At 53.6% G+C, this 12,494-nt stretch overlaps 2 long non-coding RNA genes across 3 annotated transcripts in view, besides 7 other annotated features; one reads left to right on the plus strand and one right to left on the minus strand.

The window, feature by feature from the left end:
* Positions 1-2,891, plus strand: part of LOC105371912 (uncharacterized) — a 30,662-nt gene extending 27,771 nt beyond the window's left edge. For both annotated transcript variants that reach the window (NR_188632.1, NR_188633.1), the window contains exon 2: positions 479-2,891. This is a non-coding gene — a long non-coding RNA (uncharacterized LOC105371912). The remainder of the gene's footprint in view (positions 1-478) is intronic.
* Positions 1,328-1,832: an enhancer, noted in NCBI's record as "H3K4me1 hESC enhancer chr17:76340895-76341399 (GRCh37/hg19 assembly coordinates)". NCBI's record gives its function as "activates a minimal SCP1, AML or CMV promoter by ChIP-STARR-seq in naive H9 embryonic stem cells {active_cell/tissue: H9 hESC(naive)}" and the evidence as "EXISTENCE:reporter gene assay evidence [ECO:0000049][PMID:30033119]".
* Positions 4,928-4,987: a silencer, noted in NCBI's record as "silent region_9061". NCBI's record gives its function as "represses an Ori minimal core promoter by ATAC-STARR-seq in GM12878 lymphoblastoid cells {active_cell/tissue: GM12878}" and the evidence as "EXISTENCE:reporter gene assay evidence [ECO:0000049][PMID:35858748]".
* Positions 7,782-9,296, minus strand: LOC124904064 (uncharacterized). The gene is made up of 2 exons (XR_007065920.1): positions 8,950-9,296; positions 7,782-8,619 (listed from the first exon to the last, which is right to left on the minus strand). It is a non-coding gene; the product is annotated as an uncharacterized LOC124904064 (long non-coding RNA).
* Positions 8,442-9,257: an enhancer, noted in NCBI's record as "H3K27ac-H3K4me1 hESC enhancer chr17:76348009-76348824 (GRCh37/hg19 assembly coordinates)". NCBI's record gives its function as "activates a minimal SCP1, AML or CMV promoter by ChIP-STARR-seq in naive H9 embryonic stem cells {active_cell/tissue: H9 hESC(naive)}" and the evidence as "EXISTENCE:reporter gene assay evidence [ECO:0000049][PMID:30033119]".
* Positions 9,258-10,074: an enhancer, noted in NCBI's record as "H3K27ac-H3K4me1 hESC enhancer chr17:76348825-76349641 (GRCh37/hg19 assembly coordinates)". NCBI's record gives its function as "activates a minimal SCP1, AML or CMV promoter by ChIP-STARR-seq in naive H9 embryonic stem cells {active_cell/tissue: H9 hESC(naive)}" and the evidence as "EXISTENCE:reporter gene assay evidence [ECO:0000049][PMID:30033119]".
* Positions 9,483-9,802: a silencer, noted in NCBI's record as "silent region_9062". NCBI's record gives its function as "represses an Ori minimal core promoter by ATAC-STARR-seq in GM12878 lymphoblastoid cells {active_cell/tissue: GM12878}" and the evidence as "EXISTENCE:reporter gene assay evidence [ECO:0000049][PMID:35858748]".
* Positions 11,094-11,595: an enhancer, noted in NCBI's record as "H3K4me1 hESC enhancer chr17:76350661-76351162 (GRCh37/hg19 assembly coordinates)". NCBI's record gives its function as "activates a minimal SCP1, AML or CMV promoter by ChIP-STARR-seq in naive H9 embryonic stem cells {active_cell/tissue: H9 hESC(naive)}" and the evidence as "EXISTENCE:reporter gene assay evidence [ECO:0000049][PMID:30033119]".
* Positions 11,919-11,968: an enhancer, noted in NCBI's record as "active region_12891". NCBI's record gives its function as "activates an Ori minimal core promoter by ATAC-STARR-seq in GM12878 lymphoblastoid cells {active_cell/tissue: GM12878}" and the evidence as "EXISTENCE:reporter gene assay evidence [ECO:0000049][PMID:35858748]".

Here is a 12,494-nt window from a genome sequence, read left to right on the forward strand (position 1 = left end):
TTATTTACAAGAAAAAAAAAAGGCTGTCCAGGGGCTCAGCCCCTTTTGGAGGGCATCAGAGCCGCCAGTGTTGACTGAGCACTCACCATGTACTACGCCATATGGGCGTTTGCTCACTGAACTGTCACAACCACCCAAGAAAACGGGAACTGTTGTTATCCCCATTGTACAGATGGGGAGCGGATTTAGAGTCCTGGGATGCAAACTGGGTTTCCCCGCTGGCTCCCGATCCCCACTCCATCTGGCCTATGAGCGTGGGAACCAGTGTGGCCCGGAAGAGTGGTGGATGGCCCAGCTGACTGCCCAGGTGCCCCCACCCCCCAGCCACATGGGCATGCGGCTTGCTCGGTACTCAGCTGACTTCCTGTCCCTGGAAGAGCAGCTGCCGGTATGCTGGGGCAGGGCGGTCCCCTTCCTGTGGTTCAGGTAAGGGCATAACCCCATGCCTTCTTGGCATCCTCCCTCTCTCCTTTCTCAGGCTCTGCAAGTCCGACCTGGGTGCCCCAGAGAGCTGCTCCGGGAAAGACGTTTACCTGCTGCCCAGAGCTGGGACTGCAGACCCTGATTGGCGAGGGCTTGGAGAGTAGCTGAGAACCTTCCCTTCAGCTACTGAAGACCAGACAGGGCTTTCTGTATCACGCTGCCTGACGATGATGAGGGTGCAGTGACTAAGAGTGCAGATGAAAGGCCCAGCTCTCCAACCAGGTGGATGGATTTGCAAGGAGCTTCTATCTGGGCGTGGTGGCTCATGCCTGTAATCCCAGCACTTTGGGAGGCTGAGGCGAGCGAACCACCTGAGGGTGGGAGTTCAAGACCAGCCTGACCAACATGGAGAAACCCCATCTCTACTAAAAATACAAAATTAGCCGGGCATGGTGGCAGGCACCTGTAATCCCAGCTACTCGGGAGGCTGAGGCAGGAGAATCGCTTGAACCCGGGAGGCGGAGGTTGCAGTGAGCCAAGATCGTGCCATTGCACTCCAGCCTGGGCGACAGAGTGAGACTCCATTTCAAAAAAAAAAAAAAAAAAGAAAGGAGCTTCTGAGAGATGGGGTCTCCACCTCCCCATCAGATACTCCAGGGCTTTGGAAAGAGCTGGCTGGCTCTTGGGCATCACCTCAACTTTCCCCTAGGTGACGCTGCCAAGGAACTGTGGCACTGTCCCTACTTCCCACATCCAGCTCCACGGTTCCACCTCCCACCCCCCTTGCCTGTGGAAGCTCAAAATAAGCTTTCTAGAGCATGATGTTTCTTGTGTGAGGGGTCATCTGAGGTTGTAAAGACTGAAGCTCTTCACCAGAGAAACGCAGGAAGCATCCCGCAGCTAAGTGAGGCAATGTCTGGGGCACGCCAGGCCACGCCAGGTAGCTCAGAGGGGAGGAACGCCCCTGGCTACACAGCCTGCGTCTGAGCCCTGCTGGTGGCCAGGCCATCTGCTGGGCTCCATCCCTGGGCGTCTTTCCAGCCTGTCTTCAGTGCTCAGGGCGTCTTTAGCAGAGCATAAAGTGGCATTTCACTTGTCCCTCTACCCAACAGCAAGGAAGTGGACCTCTCTTAGGCTTTTCTTGGAAGACGAAAGGAAAGAAAGAACGTTCTCAATGTGAGATCCTACAGGACCACTGTACTGGGTCGAATGGCGTCCCCCCCCACCAAATTCATGTCTGCATGGAACCTACAAATGTGACTTTGTTTGGAAAGAGGGTCTTTGCAGATGTAATTAAGATGTACTCCACAGGCCTGGGGAGATCAAGGCTAACAGCATGTTGTATGAGGATGGCCCCAGTCCAATGACTGATGCCCTTATATGAGGGAAATCTGGACACAGACACACAGAGAAGGCCACGCGGTGGTGGAGGCAGAGATGGGAGAGATGTGTCTACAAGCCAAGGAGCGAGCAGGACCGCCGGCCACCACCAGGAGCTGGCAGGGGCAAGGAAGTCATTCTTCCCTGGGGGCTTCAGAGGGAGCACGGTCCCAGTACACCTTGAGTGTTGGCCTTCTGGCCTCCAGAGCTGTGAGAGAATCCATTTTGGTTGTTTGAAGCTGCTGAGTTTGTGGCGTTTTGTTACGGCTGTCCCAGGAAAGGAATACAATCACCAAATGTCAAACACAGGGCAGCTGGGAAAAACAAGAGGGAAATGCATGAGGCACGTAAAGAAAAGACTTGGAAGAGACCAAGGAGGGACAGGAAGGAATGCTTCCTCAACTTCCTCCTCGCACCCGGACAGGAAGCCGGAGACCTAGTGGCTGAGCCTTGGAAGAAGCGGCTACCTATTCCCCCCCACAAGAGCGGGTGAGCTTGGATGTCGGATGAATGAGAAGGGTCTGAATCTTGCTGGGTCCCAGGGAGACCCTGTTAATAATAACAAACTCAAGATATGGTCTCGTCTCATCCTCACCACAGTGCCTAAAGCAGGTTTTATTGAAATCCCCGTGTATAGATTAGGAACAAGGCAGGGCGGTTGGGTGCCTGCCCAGGGTCATAGGCAGCAGCAGTGATCTGGAACTGGAGCCCAGCTTTCCCACACCCTGCCCTTACCACTTGTCCTCTCCTGATCCAGGGCTCCAGTGCCCATGTCCAGTGCCTTGGTGGGGCTGGGCCAAGAGGCACAGCGAGGGCCCTGGCCACAGGCAGGGGCGTTGGAGCCCTGCTGCCTAGGTTTGGATCCCAGCTCTACTCCTGGTGAGCTGTGTGACCTTGGGCAAGTTACATTACATCCCTGTTTTGCAGTTTCACCCACTGAGAAAATAGGGACAAGAATAGTACGTAACTCATGGAGTTGCTGGAGACCTCCATGGGTCAGTACGTTTCAGGTGCTTAGAATAGTGCTTGGCACACTGGAAGCACAGCCATAAAAGTGTTGTGAAATAAATAAAACCCGCTGGGCGAGAGAACTCTTTCTTTCATAGCTGGGGCCAAGGAGAGGGCTTCAGGATGGTGACCTGTCTTATTCTTACTCCACAGACATGGAGATATCAAGGCCAATAGCATTCTCATGCAGTTCTCTTCTATTTCCCATAGAACCCTCAAGACCAGCAAGGGGGACACCTGAGAGCAGAAAGCAGAGTTGCACCCACATTCTGGGCAGGCTGACTCAGTTGCTAGAATCCTGCCTCTAGGGCCAAGATTACTGTTTGATCCTGATCTGGGCCAGCTTTGTCCTACTGGAGGAAAGCTTGGAACCCTGAATCCTACTTGGTTGGTCTCCTGCTTGGCTGTTTTGCTCACAGTGGGAACCTGGTCTGGGGTGATTCACTATCACTCATCGCTCCACAGAAGGATGGTGCCCGGTGCACATCCCCAGGATAGTGTTAACCGTCACCTTTACGCATGGCACTCAGAATGCGCAGAGTGGTGTGTGCATGCAGCAACGTGTATACACCCTGTGCATCTGGGAGGTCCTCCAGTCATCTCTGGCCGCGTCCTGCGGAGGGTGCTGCAGCCTCTACCTGGCCTCTGGCTCTTTCTTTCCTTTCCTTTCTTTCTTTCCTTCTTTCTCTTCCTTTCTCTTCCTTTCCTTTCTTTCCTTTCTTTCCTTTCTCTTTCCTTTCTTTCCTTCCTTTCTTCCTTCCTTCCTTCCCTTTCTTCTTTCTTTTCTTTCCTTCCTTTCCTTCTTCCTTCCTTTCTTTCTTTTTCTTCTTTCTTTCTCTCTCTCTTTCTTTCTTTCTCTCTCTCTTTCTAGAGTCTTGCTCTGTCACCACGCTGGAGTGCAGTGGAGTGATCTCGGCTCATTGCAACCTCTGCGACCCAGCTTCAAGCGATTCTCCTGCCTCAGTCTCCCAAGTAGCTGGGACTATAGGCATGCACCACCACAAACAGTTAATTTTTTTTGTATTTTTAGTAGAGATGGGGTTTCACCATGTTGGCCAGGCTGGTCTTGAACTCCTGACCTCAGGTGATCCCCCCCACCTTGGCCTCCCAAAGTGCTGGGATTACAGAGGTGGCTCTTTTAATTGACTCCTCTCCAGGCATCTCTCCTTCCAGCCACAGAGCCTGGCCTGATGGTCCCAGGGCCCCAGGGCCCCAGGTGAAGGCCTCTCTCCTCCCCCACTCAGGTCTGACCAGCTCTGTTTCCATCCTGGTGTGGGCACAAGGTCTCTTGCTGCAGCTGGGCCAGTTTGCTGACCTTCTCAGCTCCTTCTCTTAGACTGGAGAGGCCTGGAAGGGTGCCCGAGGGAGGGTCTGGGCTGCTCTCCTGGGCTCCTCCCCTCCACTCCAGGACTCTGGCTGGAGCCTGGTCAGGGTCCTTACTGAGTTCTCAGCCAAGCGCCAGCCCTGTGATGGCCTGAGGGGTCTGGTGGGGAAGCCCCAAAGTGAGGGCTCCATAGCCCTCACTGTCCCTCCCCCAGCATTGTGCAGTGCCGGCGGTCTCTGAGTTCTTCTGGGTAGCCTTTCTACCACATCCTCTTGCCTACTTTCACCAGGTGGCCAAGGGACACTAAAAAAGGCAGTGAATAGCTAGAGGACCACTCTTGAAAATCAGCCTGCCTTCCTCCTGGTGCCAGCTCCTGTCCCTCCGGCCTCCTTTTCATAGAATTCTACAACAGGAGGAAACAGAGAGGTCATCTCCTCCACCTTCACCAAGTTTCCAGAACGGATGGGTTAGAGGGATCTGGCGTTCTCTGAGGCTTCGGGCCAAACCTTGGACATTGGGCTGGCCAGAGATCTTGCTGGGGTTGCCTTGGGAATTGTATATCCATTGGGAGCACTAGCCCTGAACACCTGGGGCTCCCCACCTGCTAGGAGCTGGGAGGACTCTGGTGTTCCCTGCAACCCCCCAGGGTCTGGGTGGACGGAATGGCAGCCCAGGACTGTTCCCCAGGCTGACCTGGACTCTGATGAGAGCCAAGAGTGGACCTAGCTGTCATTTAGATCCCTGGGGGAGCCTTCACAGTAGCTGCCAAGCAGAGGTCCTGGCACTGGGGAGGGTTCTCACACGTAGGAGGGGCAGTACTTAAGCAAGTAACAGTGGAGAGGGCACTGGATTTGACATCAGCTGAGAGGTGGTCCGTTTCTGCTTCTCTCACTGCTTATCTGTGATCTGAGGCAAGCCTAAACTCCTCTACAGCTTAGTTTACTCATCTGGAAAGTGTGGTATATTTTATTTTACCTGCCTTACATCTGAGGCATGGAGGAAGGACGGAATGAGATCACCTATTAAAATGCATTTTGAAAAAACAAAAGTGCTATTTATGCAAACACATGGTACTAAAAATAAAAGATGCCTGTTTGCTTCTGGAAGTAAAAGTTGTGAATGATGCCGGGCGCTGTGGCTCACACCTGTAATCCCAGCACTTTGGGAGGTCAAGGCGGGTGGATCACAAGGTCGAGAGATCGAGACCAACCTGGCCGACATGGGGAAACCCCATCTCTACTAAAAATACCAAAAAAATTAGCTGAGCACGGTGGCACACGCCTGTAGTCCCAGCTACTCAGGAGGCTGAGGCAGGAGAATCACTTGAACCCGGGAGGCGGAGGTTGCAGTGAGCCGAGATTGCGCCATTGCACTCCTGCACTCCAGCCTGGTGACAGAGCGAGACCATCCGTCTCAAAAAAAAAAAAAAAAAAAAGTTATGAATTAAGTGATATTTTAATGATCCAGGAACCCCATTATTTAAAGAACATTTTGTCTTTTGTACAGCCACAGAGCCAGTGTTTGATGAGTTTCCAGCAAGCATCACCCATTCTGCTAGATTTTGTGAGGAACATAAAAAAGCAGAAGATATAGGGCCTGGTACGGAGTTGGCATTCAATTAATAATCATTGGGCAGGGCACGGTGGCTCAGACCTGTGTTCCCAGCACTTTGGGAGGCTGAGGTGGGTGGATCACCTGAGGCCAAGAGTTCAAGACCGGCCTGGCCACCATGGTCAAACCCCATCTCTACTAAAAGTACAAAAATTAGCCGGGCCTGGTGGCACATGGCGGTAGTCCCAGCTACTCGGGAGGCTGAGGCAGGTGAATTGCTTGAGCCTGGGAGGCAGAAGTTGCAGTGAGCCAAGATCATGCCACTGCACTCCAGCCTGGGCGACACAGTGAGACTCTGTCTCAAAATATATATATATATTAATAATCATTGGATGAATAAGAGCGAATTTCTTCCATCTGAGAGTTCACAGTCCAGTTTGGACGGGGACAGTCATGTGACCGGGTGATGAATGAGTGGTGCAGGCTGTACATATAATATGCATTTGGAGGGAGGAGAGGTCTCCAGGGTGTGGGAGGCTTCAGGGAGGAGGCAGGAAGGGAGAAATCCTCAGCAGAGAGGGAGAACTAGAAGAGAGAATTGGAGGGGCTGGCTGGGAAGAAGGGCTAACCCCAACATGGGCTCCTAATCCCAAGTGAGCAGGGAAGTGATGAATATGGTGGGCAGGGAAGAAGACCACCCTGATGGGAAGAAGTTTGCCTCCTAGCGTGGGGTGGAGTGGGGGCAGAGTAAACTTCCCACTGGGGCTACAGTTGAAGGGTTTTGGAAACCCAGCTTAGTGGAAAATGCCAGGGGGAACCAGTATAGATCCTACAGGGATGGGCTGCCTGTGTGCATGACATCATGAAAGCAATATTTTTAGAAGATGAGTCTGGCATGGATGGGCCCATGGGGACATACCAAACTTCTTGAAGTTCCCCAAAGTTTCCCTTTTCCGGGCTATTTCCCTGTTTCTGAGAATGCCCCATTCTCCCAAGCCTGTGGAAGGAACACCTGCTGTTTCACCTTAACTTACGCATCACCTCTTCTGGGAAGCCACTAGAGGTCATTTCCTCCTGGGCACCCCCAGCTGTACCCTGTCTACCACTTTATTTTTACACCCATTCCTTTTTAGGATACTTCTTGGTTTTCACATCTGGTTCCCCTTTCAGACTGTGAGTCTCTTGAAGCCTGGAATATTTCCTGATTGTTATTTTTGTCCAGCAACAGGCATGGTGGCCAGAGCCGTGTTTCCACCTATGTTGGTATCACCTGGGGCACCTGGGTCCCAGGTGACACCTGGGTCAGGCAAACATCAGGTGCTGCTGATACACCCTAAAGTTTAGGAACACTGCAGCTCCACCTCTCTCACATGGCCTCATAGGACAACATCTACAAAGAGCATATCATGATATAAACAGCACCCCCTGGAGTTGTGCAGCACAGACACCTCCTGGAGGACCCAGGTCCTCATGGATTCAGTTTTTTTTTTTTCACTTTATTTTCTTTCTCTCTCTTTCTCCTTCCTTCCCTTCTCTTCCTCCCTTCTTCCTTCCTTCCTTCCTTCCTTTCTCTCTCTCTTTCTTTCTTGGTGTGTCACTCTGTGACTCAGGCTGGAGTGCAGTGGCACCATCTGGGCTCTCTGCAACTTCTGCCTTCTGGGTTCAAGCGATTCTCCTGCCTCAGCCTCCCGAGTAGCTGGGATTACAGGCGCCGCCACCACACCCGGCTAATTTTTGTATTTTTTGTAGAGATGGGGTTTTGCCATGTTGGCCAGGCTGGTCTCAAACTCCTGACCTCGAGTGATCCGTCCACCTCGGCCTCCCAAAGTGCTGGGATTACAGGCGTGAGCCACCATGCCCAGCCGGATTTAATTTTTCATGTCTGTACCTTCAACATTCTGTACATTACAGGCGCTAAATAACATTTTCTGTAGGAAAATACTATGATTGGAGATTTGGGGGAGGGGAGGTGAAAGAGAGGAAATATATCGTCTTGTGTAATGTAAATAATGAGCTTGCATTCTGTTTTTTATTTTTTTTGTTATTTTTTTTTAAATTTTTTTTTTTGAGCCGGGCGCGGTGGCTCACGCCTGGCTGTTTTTTATTTATTTTTATTTTTTATATCTGGGTTTGCAGTCTCTTCCTGAGGCTGGGCCTGAATAGTGCTGTGAATACCGGCAGTGATGGTGTTAACTGGAAGAGCCCAACGTCTTAGCATTCAGAACCCTAATTTCTTTTCTGAAAAAAAGCCTGAAGCCTACAACCCAGTGTTCCAGCCTGCAGCGCAGCCTTCCTTCCAGGCTGCATCCCAGCCTTCCAGCCTGCAGCCCAGCCTTCCAGGCCGCTACTGTTGCTTAAGGCTGTGCTGCAATCAGAGCGCTCAGGAGTGGGAAGTCCAGAGTTCTACCCGCTTCTGGGAACAGCCCCCCATCCCCCTCCCGGCACCAGCTTCCACAGGCAAGTCCTCATGACAGTGGGTCAGGCTCACCCGAGGATTTCACAAACGCCTGGCCTGTTCCCAGCACAGCACAGCTGGGAGGGCTCAGTGCCGGGGGGAAGGAGCATCCTCCTCCTCCTCTTCCCTTGGCCCTGCCGTCCTCCAGCTCAGGGAGAGGGAAGGGCTGCACTTGTCCATGCTTGCCGCCTACAGGCCCGCGAGCTCGGAACCTTCCCTCCCTGCTGATTTCCCAGCTTTGGCTTAGTCAAGGTACAAAGAGGAAATGCGCTGTCTCACGACAAAAGGAGCATCCAGGCTTGTCTGCCCTGAAGGCAGCTGCAAGAGGTCTCAGAGTCACCTGAGGAGGCGGTTATTCAGATTCCAAGGCTGTCTTCAGGCTTTGGATTCAGAAGAGCTGGGTCACAGTCCGGGAGTCAGCAGTTTCATGCACACCTCGGGGGACTGGCCGTAGGTGGTCCTCTGTGCTTTCAGAGGCCTTGAGGGGCAGAGAGGTGGAGCTCCAGGCAATGAAAAGCGTTTAGCTCATAGAACCCAGGATTCTAAGTTAGGGCCACCAGCTCTTTCTCTAGCTCCATGACAAGGAAAGAGCTGTCCTTGGATTTGGGGCCTCAGTTTCTCCATCTCTGAAATGGGTGTGTTCGGACCTGAGGGTACAGAGACCAACTGTCCTAGTTTGCCAGACTTTCAGAACTAAACTGGGACAAGCTGGCCACCCTACTGAGGGTGGATGCATGCTGTAATGGGAATGTGATTTGAAGATGCGTCTTCAAGGCACAGGCTATATTTATTTAATTTACATATTTACCCGTTATTGTCTGGTTGCTCCCACTTAACCTCTGGAGGGCAGGGTGAGCAGGGCCTTGTCTTGCTGGATATAGAACAGTCCTTGACCGTGGGATGTGTTCCACAGAGATTTGCTGAATGAATGAACGAGTGAATGAATGAGTGACTAGAAGGGGAGAGGGCTGAGGCTCCAAGAACAGGCTCCCTGAATAGAGCGTGTGTTGGGGGTGGGTTTGCTCCGCTGACCTGAAGGGGGTTCTCGGCTCCCCTGGGACAAGAAAACTTGACCCACTCACGGCCGGGAAAGAGTCCAGGCTTTCTGAGCAGCCGCCCCTGGGAGGGGTCAGTGACCCCCGGTGACGAACGCCTGACTCCCCCCTTCCCCCACGCGCCCAGCGCGGCCTGGTCCACCCTGTCTCCTCCCTCTCCCGCCCCCCACCCCAGGGAGGTGCGCCTGGCAGCCTCCCGGCCGAATTTCCTGGCACTGGGCTGAGAATAAACAGCGCTCTCCGCCCGTAATCCCGTTGCCCCGGCGACCGCGCTCCGCGGGCGGGGGCGTGGCGGGGGCGTGGCGGGGGCGTGGCGTGGCGGGGCCGTACCCGAGGCGCAAGCTCTGCAGGGCGCAGCGGCGGCTGCGGCCGCGGCGATGCGGGCCCGGGAGGTGCCACCCCCCGTACTCGGCGCGGACATTCTTCGCATAGCTCCGCCAGGGCTCCCGCGGTGTCCGGGAAGTGACTCTTCCTGGCAGAGGGCGGCCTCGAGGCGACGCGCCTGCCCGCCCGCCAGCCCGGCGGCCGCCAGATCTGGAGGGGAGTGGGGGCGGGGCGCAAGAAGGTGCTCCCAGCCCTGGGGCTCCTGTCACCCTCGGCCTCGATCATCCCGCCCCGCGCTCCTGGGACCGGAGTCCCTTACTCCCATAGACTCTCGACTGCCTCTCCGCCCAACCCCCGCCCGGTACCCTTGCGGTGCCCCCTCCCAAACATCCTTACTCATTCCTAAGACTAGGACACATCGTGCAGGCTGATTTTCCATCGCTGGCTCCCCTGTCTGAGGCCTCCTTCCCCCCCTCCCCCAGAGCAGGACTTAGATTTCCCATTCTTGGCTCTAGCCTCAGGAGGCCTGCCCTAAAACAGCACCACCGGAGAGAGGATAGGGCCTCTTGGGGTGGAGTCTTACAGCTCTAGAAGCAAGGTAATAGGGCACAGGGCTGGGAGCGGGGATTTCTCCCCTTTCTGTTGGCCGGGGACCCTCAGCCTTGTTTTTAACCAGGCCGAGGCACGAGTGCCTGCCCAAGCCAGGAGAAGCTGCCCACTGCCTGCAGGACACTTGTCAGCACATCTGGGAGCCAGGAATACCCCTCCTCCCCCAGCCAGGCCAGAGGGCCCCCGACTAAGTCCCTTAGAGGAGGGTGTCTTCCCTTCTGAGGATTGAGAAGTGCAGAAAGACTTCTGTTATGGGGTATGGGATGAGGAGAGAAGGGAGCCGGTGCTGAGCAGAGTCATCTGGGGGAGAGATTCTTTCCTGGCCTTCCCAGCAGCTTGTTGTGTGGGCTTGAGCATGTTGCTTCCCTTCTCTGGGTCTCGGTTTCCTTGTCTGCAAACCCAAAGGGTTGGTCCAGTCTGATCTGAAATGGAAAGACACACCAGGCGCGGTGGCTCACGCATGAAATCCCAGCGCTTTAAGAGGACGAGGTGGGCGGATTGCTTGAGCTTGGGAGTTAGAGACCAGCCTGGGCAACATAGCAAGATCCCATCTCTACAAGTAGTACAAAATTTAGCCAGGTGTGGTGGTGTGTGCCTGTAGTCCCACCTACTCAAGAGGCTGAGGTGGGAGGATCGCTTGTATTCTGGCAGTTGAGGCTGCAGTGAGTTGTGATCCTGCCACTGCACTCCAGCCTGGGTGACAGAGCTAGACCCTATCTGAAAAAAAAAAAAAAAAAAAGAAGAAGAAGAAGAAGTGGAAAGACAGAGGAAGGTTGGGATGGGCAGTGGTCTGGAGGAGGGAAATGAGTCTTCTTGCCTTTGCAACTCCACAAAACCAAGTTTCAACCTCCCTGGGGTGGGCAGGGAGAACTACTTCCTCCCTGGCCAGAGAAGATCAAATTCTTTTGCTAGCATTCTGTGAACACTGGACAACCTGGCTAAACAGCTGCCTTCTGGGTCAAGCACAGGGACCCAGTGGCTGGGCACAGTGGCTCATGCCTGTAATCCCAGCACTTTGGGAGGCTGAGGCTGGCAGATTGCTTGAGTTCAGGAGTTCGAGACCAGCCTGGGCAACATGGCGAGACCCTGTCTCTACGAAATATACAAAAAAAAAATTAAAAATTAAAAATAACTGGCCGTGGTGATAATGTGCCTGTAGTCCCAGCTACTCAGGAGGCTGACGTGGGAGGATTACCCAGACGTGGGAGGTTTACCCAAACCCGGGAGTTCAAACCTGCAGTGAGCTATAATAGCGCCACTGCACTCCAACCTGGGTGACAGAGTGAGACCCTGTCTCAAAAAACAAAAAAGTACAAGGACCCCAGGTTCACGGTTCCCTCATGGCTGTTATTCCAGTGAAAGGGGAACTCTGTGCAGCTGAAGGCAGTGGTGGCTGACCAGCAGACCCCAGGGCGAGGAAGACTCATCATCCTTCTGGAAGGCACTGGGGAGCCACACCCCACTGGGCCCCCTCACCTGCACTTGTGCTTTGGGAAGGTGGCCCTACCTGGGTTTACATTGCCAGTCTGGAGTTCCTTCATGATGCCTGTGGTGTGGCTCCCATATGCTCTGTCCCCTCAGCCGCCTCGTGCCTGGCCTGGCCCCTTCTCGTCACTTCAGGTCATTTTCTCCAAAAGTCCCAGGAAATAGGAAAGAAAAACGACTTTGTTTATTTACTCTCTGTTGCCTTTTGGACCCCGATTCCTGGAGCAGTATATTGGGTGCAAGGGGGCCAGGAAGAGGCTCTGGTATTTGTGTCATCTGAGAGAGATAAGGGCCCCTGACTTGGGGTTAACACTCATTTCCCAGCTGTCAGGTCACGGGGATCAGAGAAGGAGGCATGAAAGGAGAATACCTCAGAGAAGGTGGTTTTGTTTTTGTTTTTGGTTTCTGTTTTTTAAATGGAGACAGGGTCTCGCTATATTGCCCAGGCTGGTCTTGAACTTCTGGGCTCCAGCCCTTAGCCCACCTCGACCTCCCAAAGTGCTGGATTACAGGAGAGAAGACGTTTTTTGCTATTAGAAGAACCCTAGTGCTGAAACCCCAGAGTTGGGGGGAAGGGTACTAACCTCTTGGCTTTTAAGGAGGGACTCACTCCGGGGGCAGGTATATGCTGAGTGTATAGAGAGGCAGAGAGGCATGGGCTTTGGAAATCAAATGCTCCTGGGTTCCAATCCTGTTTTCCCCATATTCCCAAGTGGTGTGCCCTTGGCCAGGTTGCTTAACCTCCCTGAACCTGAGTTGCTGCCCCTACTTAGTTGACAAATATTTACTGAGCACCAATCTAGGCACCAGAAGTGACCAGTCCAAGTCCTGGCTCACATGGGGCACGTGGCCATGTCTGAGAACATGGGGATGAGAATGC

This window comes from Homo sapiens, chromosome 17, assembly GCF_000001405.40.
Source record: "Homo sapiens chromosome 17, GRCh38.p14 Primary Assembly".
NCBI lineage: Eukaryota > Metazoa > Chordata > Mammalia > Primates > Hominidae > Homo > Homo sapiens.